Source organism: Homo sapiens, chromosome 22, assembly GCF_000001405.40.
Source record: "Homo sapiens chromosome 22, GRCh38.p14 Primary Assembly".
In the NCBI taxonomy this organism is placed as follows: domain Eukaryota; kingdom Metazoa; phylum Chordata; class Mammalia; order Primates; family Hominidae; genus Homo; species Homo sapiens.
This window is the reverse complement of record NC_000022.11, coordinates 39,056,625-39,071,179: the sequence shown is the minus strand read 5'-3', so window position 1 is coordinate 39,071,179 and position 14,555 is coordinate 39,056,625. Positions and strand designations below refer to the sequence as shown.

At 47.8% G+C, this 14,555-nt stretch overlaps 1 long non-coding RNA gene across 1 annotated transcript, besides 4 other annotated features; it reads right to left on the bottom strand.

Moving 5' to 3' along the window:
* Positions 600 to 1,104: an enhancer, noted in NCBI's record as "H3K4me1 hESC enhancer chr22:39466081-39466585 (GRCh37/hg19 assembly coordinates)". NCBI's record gives its function as "activates a minimal SCP1, AML or CMV promoter by ChIP-STARR-seq in naive H9 embryonic stem cells {active_cell/tissue: H9 hESC(naive)}" and the evidence as "EXISTENCE:reporter gene assay evidence [ECO:0000049][PMID:30033119]".
* Positions 1,105 to 1,608: an enhancer, noted in NCBI's record as "H3K4me1 hESC enhancer chr22:39465577-39466080 (GRCh37/hg19 assembly coordinates)". NCBI's record gives its function as "activates a minimal SCP1, AML or CMV promoter by ChIP-STARR-seq in naive H9 embryonic stem cells {active_cell/tissue: H9 hESC(naive)}" and the evidence as "EXISTENCE:reporter gene assay evidence [ECO:0000049][PMID:30033119]".
* LOC107985563 (uncharacterized) lies at positions 1,205 to 4,853 on the bottom strand. The gene is made up of 2 exons (XR_001755547.2): positions 4,822 to 4,853; positions 1,205 to 2,471 (listed from the first exon to the last, which is right to left on the bottom strand). It is a non-coding gene; the product is annotated as an uncharacterized LOC107985563 (long non-coding RNA).
* Positions 4,075 to 4,174: a silencer, noted in NCBI's record as "silent region_13740". NCBI's record gives its function as "represses an Ori minimal core promoter by ATAC-STARR-seq in GM12878 lymphoblastoid cells {active_cell/tissue: GM12878}" and the evidence as "EXISTENCE:reporter gene assay evidence [ECO:0000049][PMID:35858748]".
* Positions 8,570 to 8,749: a silencer, noted in NCBI's record as "fragment chr22:39458436-39458615 (GRCh37/hg19 assembly coordinates)". NCBI's record gives its function as "represses an EF-1alpha promoter that drives an FKBP-Casp9 reporter gene in an ReSE screen in HepG2 liver carcinoma cells {active_cell/tissue: HepG2}" and the evidence as "EXISTENCE:reporter gene assay evidence [ECO:0000049][PMID:32094911]".

Here is a 14,555-nt window from a genome sequence, read left to right as displayed (position 1 = left end):
CCAGCCTGGACAGCAAGAGCAAAACTCTGTCTCAAAAAAAAAAAAAAGTTGATATTTGGAGGCAGAGAGATCCCAGAGGTGCAGGTGCAAAGAGGAAAGGCCACAGAGGACACAGCCAGAAGAGACTCTCTGCCAGCCAGGAGGAGCGGCCTCAGAGCAAACAACCCAACCCACCCCGCGAACGTGTACTTGCAGCCTCCAGATCTGTGAGAAAATAAATGCCTGCCATGTGGGCACGTGACTCGGGGCATCTTCTGTGGAGGCCACAGCATGAAGGGGTCATTTTTATAGAGAGTCTCATTCTCTAATAACTTACATCTGCCTTGAAAATATTGAGTCAAATTTAAAGTGTGGAGAAGAGCCTCTAAATTTCACATGTCATTCGCAAAGAAAGAATTGTAATTTGGGACATACACGCAGTCCGGGTGGTGTTCACCATATCAGGAGACCCATCTGCCCCCCATGCTGTCCCTCCTGCACCCAGTCACCTCAGCCCCCCACGTCTCACCTTTGTAGCCCACGAACTCCATGGAGGCCCCTTCCTGACTCAGCCTGTGGAGCCCCTGCTGGTAATATGGACACTGGAAGTAGTAGAGGCGGGCGGCAAAGATGGTGAGCTTCACGTTGCTGTGCCTGGCCAGGAACTTGCCACCTCCCCTGCACACTCTGGGCAAGGGCTCCAAGATGTGTACCAGGTGACCTGGTAGTTTTTGTTAGGAGACAGTGTGTTGTCGCAGAACCAAGAGAGGAAGCACCTTTCTGCATGACTATGGGTCTCAGGATTGACCTGGGAAGGAGGAGGAGGAAGGCAGGGGGAGCTCAGACTAGGAGCAGGAGGAGTGCGGGAGTGGGGCGATGGGAGCAGAGAGTGGGCCTGGAGCCCCAGGGCATTTCCTTATTTATTTATTTTTGAGACAGGGTCTCTCTCTGTTGCCCAGGCTGGGGTGCAGTGGTGCGATCTGGGCTCACTGCAGCCTTGACCTCCCAGGCTCAAGGGATCTTCCTACCTCAGCCTCCTGATTAGCTGGGACTGCAGGCGCGTGCCACCACACCTGGCTAATTTTTTTTGTATGTTTTCATATCTTTTTGTATAGATGGGTTTCGCATGTTGCCTAGGCTGATCTCAAACTCTTGGGCTCAAGCGATCCTCCTGCCTCAGCCTTCCAGAGTTCCAGAGTTCTAGGACTATGAGCATAAACCACCATGCAAGTCCTTATTTTATTTATTTACTTTTCATTTTTCTGGGTACATAGTAGGTCCCAGTGCATTTTGTTCATTGAGATTCGCTTCCATCCTTCTCCTTCCTTCTTTATTTTTAATTTTTATTTTTTTCTGAGACAGAGTCTCACTCTGTAGCCAGGCTCGAGTGCAATGGCACAATCTCGTCTCACTGCAACCTCTGTCTCCCAGGTTCAAGGGATTTTCCTACCTCAGCTTCCCAAGTAGGTGGGACTACAGGCTCGTGACACCATGCCCATCTAAATGTTGTATTTTTAGTAGCGACAGGGTTTCACCGTATTGGCCAGGCTGGTCTCGAACTCCCGACCTCGTGATCCGCCCGCCTCAGCCTCCCAAAGTGCTGGAATTACAGGCGTGAGCCACCGCACCCGTCCCCTTCCTTCTTTATTCTATTGAGTCTTTCCCTGTTTCATCATGTCCTCGAGCACGAATTCTGGCATCCTTTCTCCCAGGCATCCATTCACCAGGCATCCTCAGCCCCTGCTGTGGCCTGGCCCTCTGGGGTCAGCCTTGTTCCCTGCCTGTCTTCTGCTGGGGAGGCCATTGGAACAGCATTGTCCCGTGGAGTTGAAGGTTGACCACAGAAGCTACTGAGCACCTGAAATAGGGCTCTGATTAGAGACTTTGGCACGTGTAAAATACACAGCTCATTCCAAAATCTCAGTGTGAGAATAAGACGAACTTTAACTCTCTCATGAGGAATTTTTTTTTTTTTTGAGATGGGGTCTCACTCTGTCACCAGGCTGGAGTGCAGTGGAGAGATCTCGGCTCACTGCAACGTCTGTATTCTGGGTTCAAGTGATTCTCCTGCCTCAGCCTCCTGAGTAGCTGCGATTACAGGTGTGCGCCACCACGCCCTGCTAATGTTTGCCTTTTTAGTAGAGACGGGGTTTCACCATGTTGGCCAGGATGGTCTCGATCTCCTGACCTCGTGATCCACCCACCTCGGCCTCCTAAAGGACAATATTTAAATGTACTACAATTAAGCCTGTATGTCAAAGGGTCTTTTCAGGACATGAAGGCACCGAAATTTGCCAGGTCTGTAAACCATGCAGAACCAGTCTGTTGTCAGTGGTCTTCTGATCTGGAGGAAGTTACTGAAATCAGTCTCTTGCCCAGGGAAAGCTGGAGTTAGGGCTGTGGAGCAGGGGCTCTGTTGCTCCGTGTCAGCGCGCTGGATGAGCTGCGATTGTTTTCATCTTCTTTATCTCGAGGCAGTTCTTGTTTAGCTGCTAAACAAGCAAAAGAAAAACCTTGTGGCAGGCAGAACAGAGTTGACTGTTGAAGTGTAGGGTGTGTGACCTCACCCTTGCCTGGCACGGCCTGAGGTCCTGGTTGTGATTTGGTATCTGATTGCCATGAAGAGTCTGTTCTGGTTCTGCCGGTCTTATGATTCTGTTTTAACATTACTGCTGGTCAGTTGTGTCTAAACTGCAAAAGGGAGGGGTGATAATGAGGCGTGCCTGACCTCCCCTCCCATCATGGCCAGGAACTCAGTTTTAAGGTTTTTCTGAGATACCTTTGGCCACTAGGGGCCAAAGTTGGTAAGTGGGGGCTAAGGATTCTATTTTTAGTTATAGGCGTGAGGACTAAGCTCTGATTTTTTTTTTTTATCTTTCCCAAATTCCTACCTGTCAGTCCTCTGAGCCCAGCCTGCGAGTATACATCCAGATGGCCTGAGGCACTGAAGAACCACAAAAGAAGTGAAAATGGCCGGTTCCTGCCTGAACTGATGACATTACTTTGTGAAATCCGTTCTCCTGGACAATGAGTCTCAGAAGCTCCCCCACCAAGCACCTTGTAACCCCCACCCCTGCCCGCAAGAGAAAAATCCCCTTTGACTGTAATTTTCCACTACTCACCCAAATCCTATAAAACTGTCCCACCCCTATCACTCTTATCCTGCTCAATGCCAATATCCCAACCCACAGCAGGCTTTAAAAAGGTTAAAGCCTCTTATCACCAGCCTGTTACAATATGGCTTTTTAAAGCCTACAAACTCTCCTTACAACTCTCCTGTCCTACCTGTCCAAAAACTGGACAAGTATTACAGGTTAGTTCAGGATCTGTGCCTTATCAACCAAATTGTTTTGCCTATCCACCCGGTGGTGCCCAACCCGTACACTCTTTGTCCTCAATACCTTCCTCCACAACTCACTATTCCGTTCTTGATCTTAAAGATGCTTTTTTCACTGTTCCCCTGCACCCCTCATACCAGCCTCTCTTTGCTTTTACCTGGACTGACCTTGACACCATCAGTCCCAGCAGCTTACCTGGGCTGTCCTGCCACAAGACTTCAGGGACAGCCCTCATTACTTCAGCCAGGTTCTTTCTCATGATTTACTTTCTTTCCGTCCATCTACTTCTCACATTATTCAATATTTTGATGATCTTCTACTTTATAGCCCCTCCTTTGAATCTTCTCAACAAGACACCCTCCTGCTCCTTTAACATTTATTCTCCAAAGGATATCGGGTATCCCCCTCCAAAGCTCAAATTTTGTCTCCATCCGTTACCTACCTCACTGTAATTCTTCATGAAAACACGCGTGATCTCCCTGCTGATTGTGTCTGGCAAATCTCCCAAACCCTAGCCCCTTCTACAAAGCAACAACTCCTTTCCTTCCTACGCATGGTTAAGTACTTTTGCCTTTGGATACCTGGTTTTGCCATCCTGGCTAAACCATTACATAAACTCACAAAAGGAAACCTAGGTGACCCCATAGATCCTAAATTCTTCCCCACTCCTCTTTCCATGCCTTAAAAACAGCCCTAGAAGCTGCTCCCACACTAGCGCTTCTTAACTCAACCCAACCCTTTCCATTACACACAGCCGAAGTACAAGACTGTGCGGTCGGAATTTACACAAGAGCCGGGACAGCACCCTGTAGCCTTTCTGTCCAAACAACTCGACCTTACTGTTCTGGGCTAGCCCACATGTCTCTGTGCAGTGGCTGCCGCTGCTTTATACTTTTAGAGGCCTTCAAAATCAAAAGCTATGCTCATGCTCCACTTACTCTCTACAGTTCCCATAAATTTCAAAATCTATTTTTCTCTTCACACTTGACACATATACTTTCTGACCTCCAGCTCCTTCAGTTGTTCTCACTCTTTGTTGAGTCTCCCACAATTATCATTGTTCCTGGCCCAGACTTAAATCCGGCCTCCCACATTATTCCTGATACCACATCTGACCCCCATGACTGTATCTCTCTGATCCACCTGGCATTCACTCCATTTCCTCATATTTCCTTCTTTCCTGTTCCTCACCCTGATCACACTTGGTTTATCACCCTTTACCCCAAAATCTTTCTTCAGTTTAATCTCTCCCATGATGCCCCTAATCCCACTCAAACCAGCCCTGAGAAACATCACCCATTATCTCTCCATACCACCCCCAAAAACTTTCACTGCCCCAACACTTCACCGCTATTTTGTTTTATTTTTCTTATTAATATAAGAAGACAGGAATGTCAGGCCTCTGAGCCCAAGCCTGCACAAATACATCCAGATGGCCTGAGGCAACTGAAAAACCACAAAAGAAGTAAAAATTGCCGGTTCCTGCCTTAACTGATGACATTACCTTGTGAAGTTATTTCTCCTGGACAATGAGTCTCAGAAGTTCCCCCACCAAGCACCTTGTAAGCCCTGCCCCTGCCCACAAGAGAAAAACCCCCTTTGACTGTAATTTTCCACTGCCCACCAACATCCTATAAAACTGCCCCACCCCTATCTCCCTTTGCTGACTCTCTTTCCGGACTCAGCCCACTTGCACCCAAGTGAAATAAATAACTTTGTTGCTCATACAAAGCCTACTGTGGACTCTCTTCACACGGACGTGTGTGACACTATCTAAGAGGTCTGGGGAGTCATGCCCTACCAAGCATATATCCTCATCAGATGGCTTCTATTTTTATTTTATTTTATTTCATTTTATTTTAATTAAGACTGAGTTTCACTCTTCTTGCCCAGCCTAGAGTACAATGGTGCAGTCTTGGCTCACTGCAACCTCTGCCTCACTGGTTCAAGCGATTCTCCTTCCTCAGCCTCCCAAGTAGCTGAGATTACAGGCACCCGCCACCACGCCCAGCTAATTTTTGTATTTTTAGTAGAGATGGGGTTTCACCATGTTGGCCAGGCCGGTCTCGAACTCCTGACCTCAGGTGATCCACGCACCTAGGCCTCCCAAAGTGCTGGGATTACAGACATGAGCCACTGCACCCGGCCCAGATGGGTTTTATTTAACCCTATATATTGTGAGATATTTTCCAGTCTGACTCAGGCACAAAATTACGTGACAAAGAAGACAAAACATTTTACCCCAAATCATGTTTCTTTGACATATCTTGAAATGGCCCTGCAAAGTTGTCCTTTGTGGGGGAAAATTTGCATCTGTAAAGAATCTCTATTAATATAGCTGGATCTTTTTCTTCCAGACCTTCCCAGTCCTAAACATATTAACTAATTGCACCTTTTAAAGACCTGAATGGGAAACATTTGTCATCTATTGTCTCTAAGGGCAGCCACTATGAGACTTCGAAAGAACCTTGGTCTCCACAATCTTTTATATTAACCTGAACGTTTCCTTTCTATGGATGCCAGGTCTCTAGACAAACTCAACCAATCGTCAACCAGAAAATGTTTTTTGTTTGTTTGTTTTTGAGATGGAGTCTTGCTCTGTCACCCAGTCTGGACTGCAGTGGTGCGATCTCGGCTCGCTGCAAGCTCTGCCTTCTGGGTTCACGCCATTCTCCTGCCTCAGCCTCCCGAGCAGCTGGGCTTACAGGCGACCGCCACCACGCCCAGCTAATTTTTTGTGTTTTTAGTAGAGATGGGGTTTCACCGTGTTAGTCAGGATGGTCTCTATCTCCTGACCTCGTGATCCGCCTGCCTCAGCCTCCGAAAGTGCTGCAACTACAGGTGTGAGCCACTGTGCCTGGCCCACAAAATATTTAAATTTACCTGTACCCTGGAAGCCCCCCAAACCCCCTCCCCTTACTTTGAGTCATCCGACCTTTCTGAACCAAACCAATGTATTTCTTTTCTTTTCTTTTGATACAGAGTCTTGCTCTGTCTCCAAGGCTGGAATGCAGTTGCATGCTCTTGGCTCACTGCAACCTCTGCCTCCTGGGTTCACGCAATTGTCCTGCCTCAGTCTCCCAAGTAGCTGGGGTTATAGGCGCCCACCACCACACTCAGCTAATTTTTGTATTTTCAGTGGAGACAGGGTTTTGCCATGTTGGCCAGGCTGGTCTCAAACTCTTGACCCCACGTGATCCACCTGGCTCGGCCTCCCAAAGTGCTATGATTACAGGCGTGAGCTGCTGTGTCCAGCCACCAATGTATTTCTTTCTTTTTTTTTTGAGATGGAGTCTTACACCGTCGCCCTGGCTGGAGTGCCCTTGCGTGATCTCGGCTCACTGCAACCTCCGTCTCCCAGGATCACGTGATTCTCCTGCCTCAGCCTCCTGAGTAGCTGGGATTACAGGTGCACATCATCACACCGGCTAATTTTTTGTATTTTTAGTAGAGACAGGGTTTCACTGTGTTGGCCAGGCTGGTCTCGAACTCCTGACCTCATGATCCACCCACCTCAGCCTCCCAAAGCACTGGGATTACAGGCATGAGCCACTGTACCCAGCTCCTGTATTTCTCAAATGTATTTGATTGATAGCTCTTGCCTCTCTAAAATATATAAAACCAAGTTGCACCCCCACCACCTTGGGCACATGTTATCAGGACCTCCTGAGCCCTGTGTTACGGGCCATGGTCACTCGTATTTGGCTCAGAATACGTCTCTTCAAATATTTTACAGAGTTTGACTCTGTTTGTCGACAGGCCCAAGACCCAGGTGCCCACTCCCTGTCTCCTCGGAGGGCCCGCGCTTCCGGTTCTCTGGCACCTCTGGTTCCTGGTTGCCCTTCTACTTTCTGTTCTGCTTTCTCAAAAAGCTCTGAACATCTCAGGCCTCCATGTAGTACCCAATTCTACTTTTTATTGAAAATCTTACTTAAACACCAACTTGATCACTGATCAAGTTTTCTTGGCTCTTTCTCAGTCACGTTCCCTAGGCTGTGTCCTAGCCCAGAGCTGCACTGCTGGGAGGGATTTGAGAAGGGAGGGGCATGAGCAGGAGGGAGGGCTGGGTGCTCTTGGGTGCAGGAGGGTGGGCTGGGTGGAACATGCAGGAAGGTCTGGGTGGAGGGGCTGTGAGGGTCAGGTCGGGACTCCCCTGTGAGACAGACACACAGGACAGGAACCCCTGCACTCCCCACTCAGGCCCGCCCACAGTGACTGTGGCTTGTTGCCATGTTGCCCTGTTTCTCCCAAAAATCAATATATTGAAGCCCTAACCCCTCTACCTCAATGTGTGGTTGTATTTGGAGACAGGTCCTTTTCAACAGATGATTAATTAATTCATTAATTAATTTTTTTAGAGACGGAGTCTCACTCCGTTGCCCAAGCTGGAGTGCAGTGGCACCATCTCGGCTCACTGCAACCTCTACCTCCCTGGTTCAAGCGATTCAAGCCTCAGCCTCCCGAGTAGCTGGGATTACATGTGCCCGCCACCATGCCCAGCTACTTTTTGTATTTTTAGTAGAGACGGGGTTTTGCCATGTTGGCCAGGCTGGTCTTGAATTCCTGACCTCAGGTGATCCGCCTACCTTGGCCTCCCAAAGTGCTGAGATTACAGGTGTGAGCCACCACACCCAGCCAACAGATGATTAATTTATTTTTATTTTTATTTTGAGATGCAGTCTCACTCTGTCTTCCAGGTTGGAGTGCAATGGCATGATCTCGGCTCACTGCAACCTCTGCTTCCCAAGGTCCAGCGATTCTCCTGCCTCAGCCTCCCAAGTAGCTGAGATTACAGGCATCCACTACCACGCCTGGCTAATTTTTTTGTATTTTTAGTAGAGACGGGGTTTCACCATGTTGACCAGGCTTGTTTTGAACTCCTGACTGTCAGGCCTCTGAGCTGAAGCTAAGCCATCATATCCCCTGTGACCTGCACATATACATCCACCTGGCCTGAAGCAACTGAAGATCCACAAAATAAGTGAAAATAACCTTAACTGATGACATTCCACCATTGTGATTTTTTCCTGCCCCACCCTAACTGATATGATATATTCTCCCCCGCCCTTAAGAAGGTACTTTGTAATATTCTCCCCAGTCTTGAGAATGTACTTTGTAATATTGTCCCCACTCTTGAGACTGTACTTTGTACGCCTATCCCAAACCTATAAGAACTAATGATGATCCCACCACCATTTGCTGAGTCCTTTTTCGGACTCAGCCCGCCCACACCCAGATGAAATAAACAGCCTTGTTGCTCACACAAAGCCTGTTGGTGGTCTCTTCACACAGACGTGCGTGACGTTTGGTGCCAAAACTCGGGACGGGAGGACTCCTTCGGGAGACCGGTCCCCTGTCCTCACCTTCACTGGGTGAGGAGATCCACCTACAACTCGGGTCCTCAGACCAACCAGCCAAAGGAACATCTCACCAATTTCAAATCAGGTAAGTGGTCTTTTCGCTCTTCTCCAGCCTCTCTCACTACCCTCCAGCCTTCCTCTCTCGCTACCCTTCAATCTTCCTGTCCTTCCAATTCCAGTTCTTTTTCTTCTCTAGTAGAGACAAGGAGACACATTTTATCCATGGACCCAAAACTCCGGCGCCAGTCACGGACTCGGGAAGACAGCCTTTCCTTGGTGTTTAATCACCGCGGGGACGCCTGCCTGATTATTCACCCACACTCCATTGGTGTCTGATCTCCACGGGGACGCCTGCCTGATTATTCACCCACATTCCCTTGGTGGTCAGTCAATTGTGGGGATGCCTGCTTTGGCTGCTCACCCACATTGCAGCCCAGGGCTGCTCACTACCCCCTCTTCTCCGTGTCTCTACCCTCTCTGTTCTCTGGGCTTGCCTCCTTCACTATGGGCAACCTTCCACCCTCCATTCCTCCTTCTTCTCCCTTAGCCTGTGTTCTCAAAGACTTAAAACCTCTTCAACTCAGACCTGAACTGAAACCTAAGCGTCTTATTTTCTTCTGCAACACCGCTTGGCCCCAGTACAAACTCGACAATGATTCCAAATAGCCAGAAAATGGCACTTTCAATTTCTCCATCCCACAAGATCTAGATAATTCTTGTCATAAAATGGACAAATGGTCTGAGGTATCTGATGTCCAGGCATTCTTTTACACTTCAGTCCCTTCCTAATCTCTGCTCCTGATGAGACTCATCCCAAAACTTTCTTCTTTCTCTCCTGTCTGTTCCTTCAGTCTCCACCCCAAGCTCTGAGTCCTTTGAATCCTCCTTTTCCACAGACTCATCTGACCTCTCCTCTTCTCCTCAGGCTGCTCCTCGCCAGGCTGAGCCAGGTCCCAACTCTTCGCCAGCCTCTGCTCCCCCACCCTATAATCCTTCTATCACTTCCCCTCCTCACACCGGGTCTGGCTTACAGTTTTGTTCTGCGTCTAGCCCTCCCCCACCTGCCCAACAGTTTCCTCTTAGAGAGGTGGCTGGAGCTGAAGGCATAGCCAAGGTTAATGCTCCTTTTTCTTTACCCAACCTCTCCCAAATCAGTTAGTGTTTAGGCTCTTTTTCATCAAATATGAAAACCCCGCTCAGTCCATGGCCCGTTTGGCAACAACCCTTAGATGCTTTACCGCCCTAGACCCAGAGGGGCCAGAAGGCCGTCATATTCTCAATATGCATTTTATTACCCAATCCGCTCCTGACATTAGAAAAAGCTCCAAAAATTGGATTCTGGCCCTCAACCCCACAACAGGACTTAATTAACCTCACCTTCAAGGTGTACAATAATAGAGAAGAGTTGCGATTACTTGCCTCTTCTGTGAGAGAAACCCCAGCCACATCTCCAGCACACAAGAACTTCAGAACGCCTAAACTGCAAGGGTCAGGCATTCCTCCAGGACTGCCTTCCCCAGGATCTTGCTTCAAGTGCCAGAAATCTGGCCACTGGGGCAAGGAATGCCCACAGCCCAGGATTCCTCCTAAGCCATGCCCCACCTGTGCAGGACCCCACTGGAAATCGGACTGTCCAACTCGCCCAGCAGACAGTCCCAGAGCCCCTCGAACTCTGGCTCAAGGTTCTCTGACTGACTCCTTCCCGGATCTTCTCGGCTTAGTGGCTGAAGACTGACGCTGTCCGATTGCCTCAGAAGCCTCCTGGACCATCACGGACGCTTTGAGTAACTCTTACAGTGGAGGGTAAGTCTGTCCCCTTCTTGATCAATACGGAGGCTACCCACTCCACATTACCTTCTTTTCAAAGGCCTGTTTCCCTTGCCTCCATAACTGTTGTGGGTATTGACAGCCAGGCTTCTAAACCTCTTAAAACTCCCCAACTCTGGCGCCAACTGGGACAACATTCTTAACTCCCCAACTCTGGCGCCAACTTGGACAACATTCTTTTATGCACTCTTTTTTTATTTATCCCCACCTGCCCAGCTCCCTTATTAGGTCAGGACACTTTAACCAAATTTTCTTCTTCCCTGACTACTCCTGGGCTACAGCCACACCTCATTGCCGCCCTTTTCCCCAGTTCAGAGCCTCCTTCACGTCCTCCCCTTGTGTCTTCCTACCTTAATCCACAAGTATGGGACACCTCTACTCCCTCCTTAGTGACTGATCATGCACCCCTTACCATCCCATTAAAACCTAATCACCCTTACCCTGCTCAATGCCAATATCCTATCCCACAGCACACTTTAAAAGGATTAAAGCCTGTTATCACTCACCCGTTACAGCATGGCCTTTTAAAGCCTATAAACTCTCCTTACAATTCCCCCCTTTTACCTGTGCAAAAACTGGACAAGCCTTATAGGTTAGTTCAGGATCTGTGCCTTATCAACCACATTGTCTTGCCTATCCACCCTATGGTGCCAAATCCATATACTCTCCTATCCTCAATACCTCCCTCCACAACCCATTATTCTGTCCTGGATCTCAAACATGGTTTCTTTACTATTCCTTTGCACCCTTCATCCCAGCCTCTCTTTGCTTTTACCTGGACTGACCCTGACACACGTCAGTCCCAGCAGCTTACCTGGGCTATAGTGCCACAAGGCTTCAGGGACAGCCCTCATTACTTCAGCCAAGCCCTTTCTCGTGATTTACTTTCTTTCCACCCCTCTGCTTCCCACCTTATTCAATACATGGATGACCTTTTACTTTGTAGTCCCTCCTTTGAGTCTTCTCAGTAAGATACCCTCCTGCTCCTTCAACATTTATTCTCCAGAGGATATCAGGTATCCCCCCTCCAAAGCTCAAATTTCTTCCCCATCCGTTACCTACCTCAGCATAATTCTTCATGAAAACATGCATGTTCTCCCTGCCAATCATGTCTGGCTAATCTCTCAAACTCCAACCCCTTCTACAAAAAAACAACTTCTTTCCTTCCTGGGCATGGTTGGATACTTTCATCTTTGGATACCTGGTTTTGCCGTACTAACAAAACCTAATGTAAACTCATAAAGGGAAACCTAGCTGACCCCATAGATCCTAAATCCTTTCCCTACTCCTCTTTCCGTTCCTTGAAGACAGCTTTAGAGACTGCTCCCACACTAGCTCTCCCTGACTCATCCCAACCCTTTTCATTACACACAGCCAAAGTACAGGGCTGTGCAGTCGGAATTTTTACACAAGGACCAGGATTCCTACACAAGGCTACTGTGCCCTGTAGCCTTTTTGTCCAAACAACTTGACCTTACTGTTTTAGGCTGGCCATCATGTCTCTGTGCAGCAGCTGCCACTGCCTTAATACTTTTAGAGGCCCTTGAAATCACAAACTGTGCTCAACTCACTCTCTACAGTTCTTATAACTTCCAAAATCTATTTTCTTCCTCACACCTGATGCATATACTTTCTGCTCTCCGGCTCCTTCAGCTATACTCACTCTTTGTTGAGTCTCCCAAAATTACCATTGTTCCTGGCCCAGACTTCAATCTGGCCTCCCACATTATTCCTGATACCACACTTGACACCCATGACTGTATCTCTCTGATACACCTGGCATTCACTCCATTTCCCCATATTTCCTTCTTTCCTGTTCCTCACCCTGATCACACTTGGTTTATTGATGGCAGTTCCATCAGGCCTAATTGCCACTCACCAGCAAAGGCAGGCTATGCTATAGTATCTTCCATATTTATCCTTGAGGCTACCACTCTGCCCCACTCCACTACTTCTCAGCAAGCCAAACTCATTGCCTTAACTCAGGCCCTCACTCTTGCAAAGGGACTACACATCAATATTTATACTGACTCTAAATATGCCTTCCATATCCTGTACCACCATGCTGTTATATGGGCAGAAAGAGGTTTCCTCACTACGCAAGGGTCCTCCATCATCAATGCCTCCTTAATAAAAAGTCTTCTTAAAGCTGCTTTACTTCCAAAGGAAGCTGGAGTCATTCACTGCAAGGGCCATCAAAAGGCATCGGATCCCATCGCTCAGGGCAATGCTAAAGAAGCAGCTAGCATTCCAACTTCTGTCCCTCATGGCCGGTTTTTCTCCTTCTCATCAGTCACTCCCACCTACTCCCCCACCGAAACTTCCACCTATCAATCTCTTCCCACACAAGGCAAATGGTTCTTGGACCAAGAAAAATATCTCCTTCCAGCCTCACAGGCCCAGTCTATTCTGTCGTCCTTTCATAACCTCTTCCATGTAGGTTACATGCCACTAGCCTGCCTCTTAGAACCTCTCATTTCCTTTCCATTGTGGAAATCTATCCTCAAGGAAATCACTTCTCAGTGTTCCATCTGCTATTCTATTACTCCTCAGGGATTGTTCAGGCCCCCTCCCTTCCCTACACATCAAGCTCTGGGATTTGGCCCTGCCCAGGACTGGCAAATTGACTACTCACATGCCCTGAGTCAGGAAACTAAAATACCTCTTGGTCTGTGTAGACACTTTCACTGGATGGGTAGAGGCCTTTCCCACAGGGTCTGAGAAGTCCACCGTGATCATTTCTTCCTTTCTTTTAGACAGAATTCCTGGGTTTGTCCTTCCCACCTCTATACAGTCTGATAACGCACCGGCCTTTATTAGTCAAATCACCCAAGAAGGTTCTCAGGCTCTTGGTATTTGGAGGCTCCTGGTTTTACTTCAAATCACCACCCTTAAGTCGCTCTTGAAGTCGATAGAAGATCTTCAGTGGCAAGGTACCCTCCAGTACTTTCACCCTGATGAAGTCCTATTCTTTACTTTTATACTCACTCTTATTCTGGTTCCGTTCTTATGCTACCCTCTACCTCTCCCCAGCTATCTCCACCACACTATCAAACTCTCTCTTAGCCATTTCTAATCCTTCTTAAATGAACAATTGCTGGCTTTGCATTTCTCTTTCCTCCAAAATTGCCGAGGCATCGACTTACTCACTGCTAAAAAAAAGAGGACTCTGTATATTTTTAAACGAAGAGTGTTGTTTTTACCTAAATCAATCTGGACAGGTATATGACAACATAAAAAAATTCAAGGATAGAGGCCAAAAACTCACCAACCAAGCAAATAATTATGTTGAACCCCCTTGGACACTGTCTAATTAGATGTTCTGGGTACTCCCAATTCTTAGTCCTTTAATACCTATTTTTCTGGCTGGGTGTGGTGGCTCATGCCTGTAATCCCAGCACTTTGGGAGGCTGAGGTGGACGGATCACGAGGTCATGAGATTGAGACCATCTGGCTAACATGGTGAAACCCCCTTCTCTACTAAAAATACAAAAAAATTAGTCGGGCGTGGTGGCGTGCACCTGTAGTCCCAGCTACTCAGGAAGCTGAGGCAGGAGAATCGTCTGAACCAGGGAGGCAGAGGTTGCAGTGAGCCGAGATCGTGCCACTGCACTCCAGCCTGGGCAACAGAGCGAGACTCTGTCTCAAAAAAAAAAAAAAAAAAAAAAAACCAACCTATTTTTCTCCTTCTTTTATTCAGACCTTGTGTCTTCCGTTTAGTTTCTCAATTCATACAAAACCGCATCCAGGCCATCACCAATAATTCTATACGACAAATGCTCCTTCTAACAACTCCAAAATATCACCTTACCCCAAAATCTTTCTTCAGCTTAATCTCTCCCACCACAGGTTCCCACGCTGCCCCTAATCCCGCTTGAAGCAGCCATGAGAAACATCGCCCATTATCTCTCCATACCACCCCCCAAAATTTTCGCCACCCCAACACTTCACCACTATTTTGTTTTTTCTTATTCATATAAGAAGACAGGAATGTCTGGCCTCTGAGCCCAAGCTAAGCCATCATATCCCCTGTGACCTGCATGTATACATC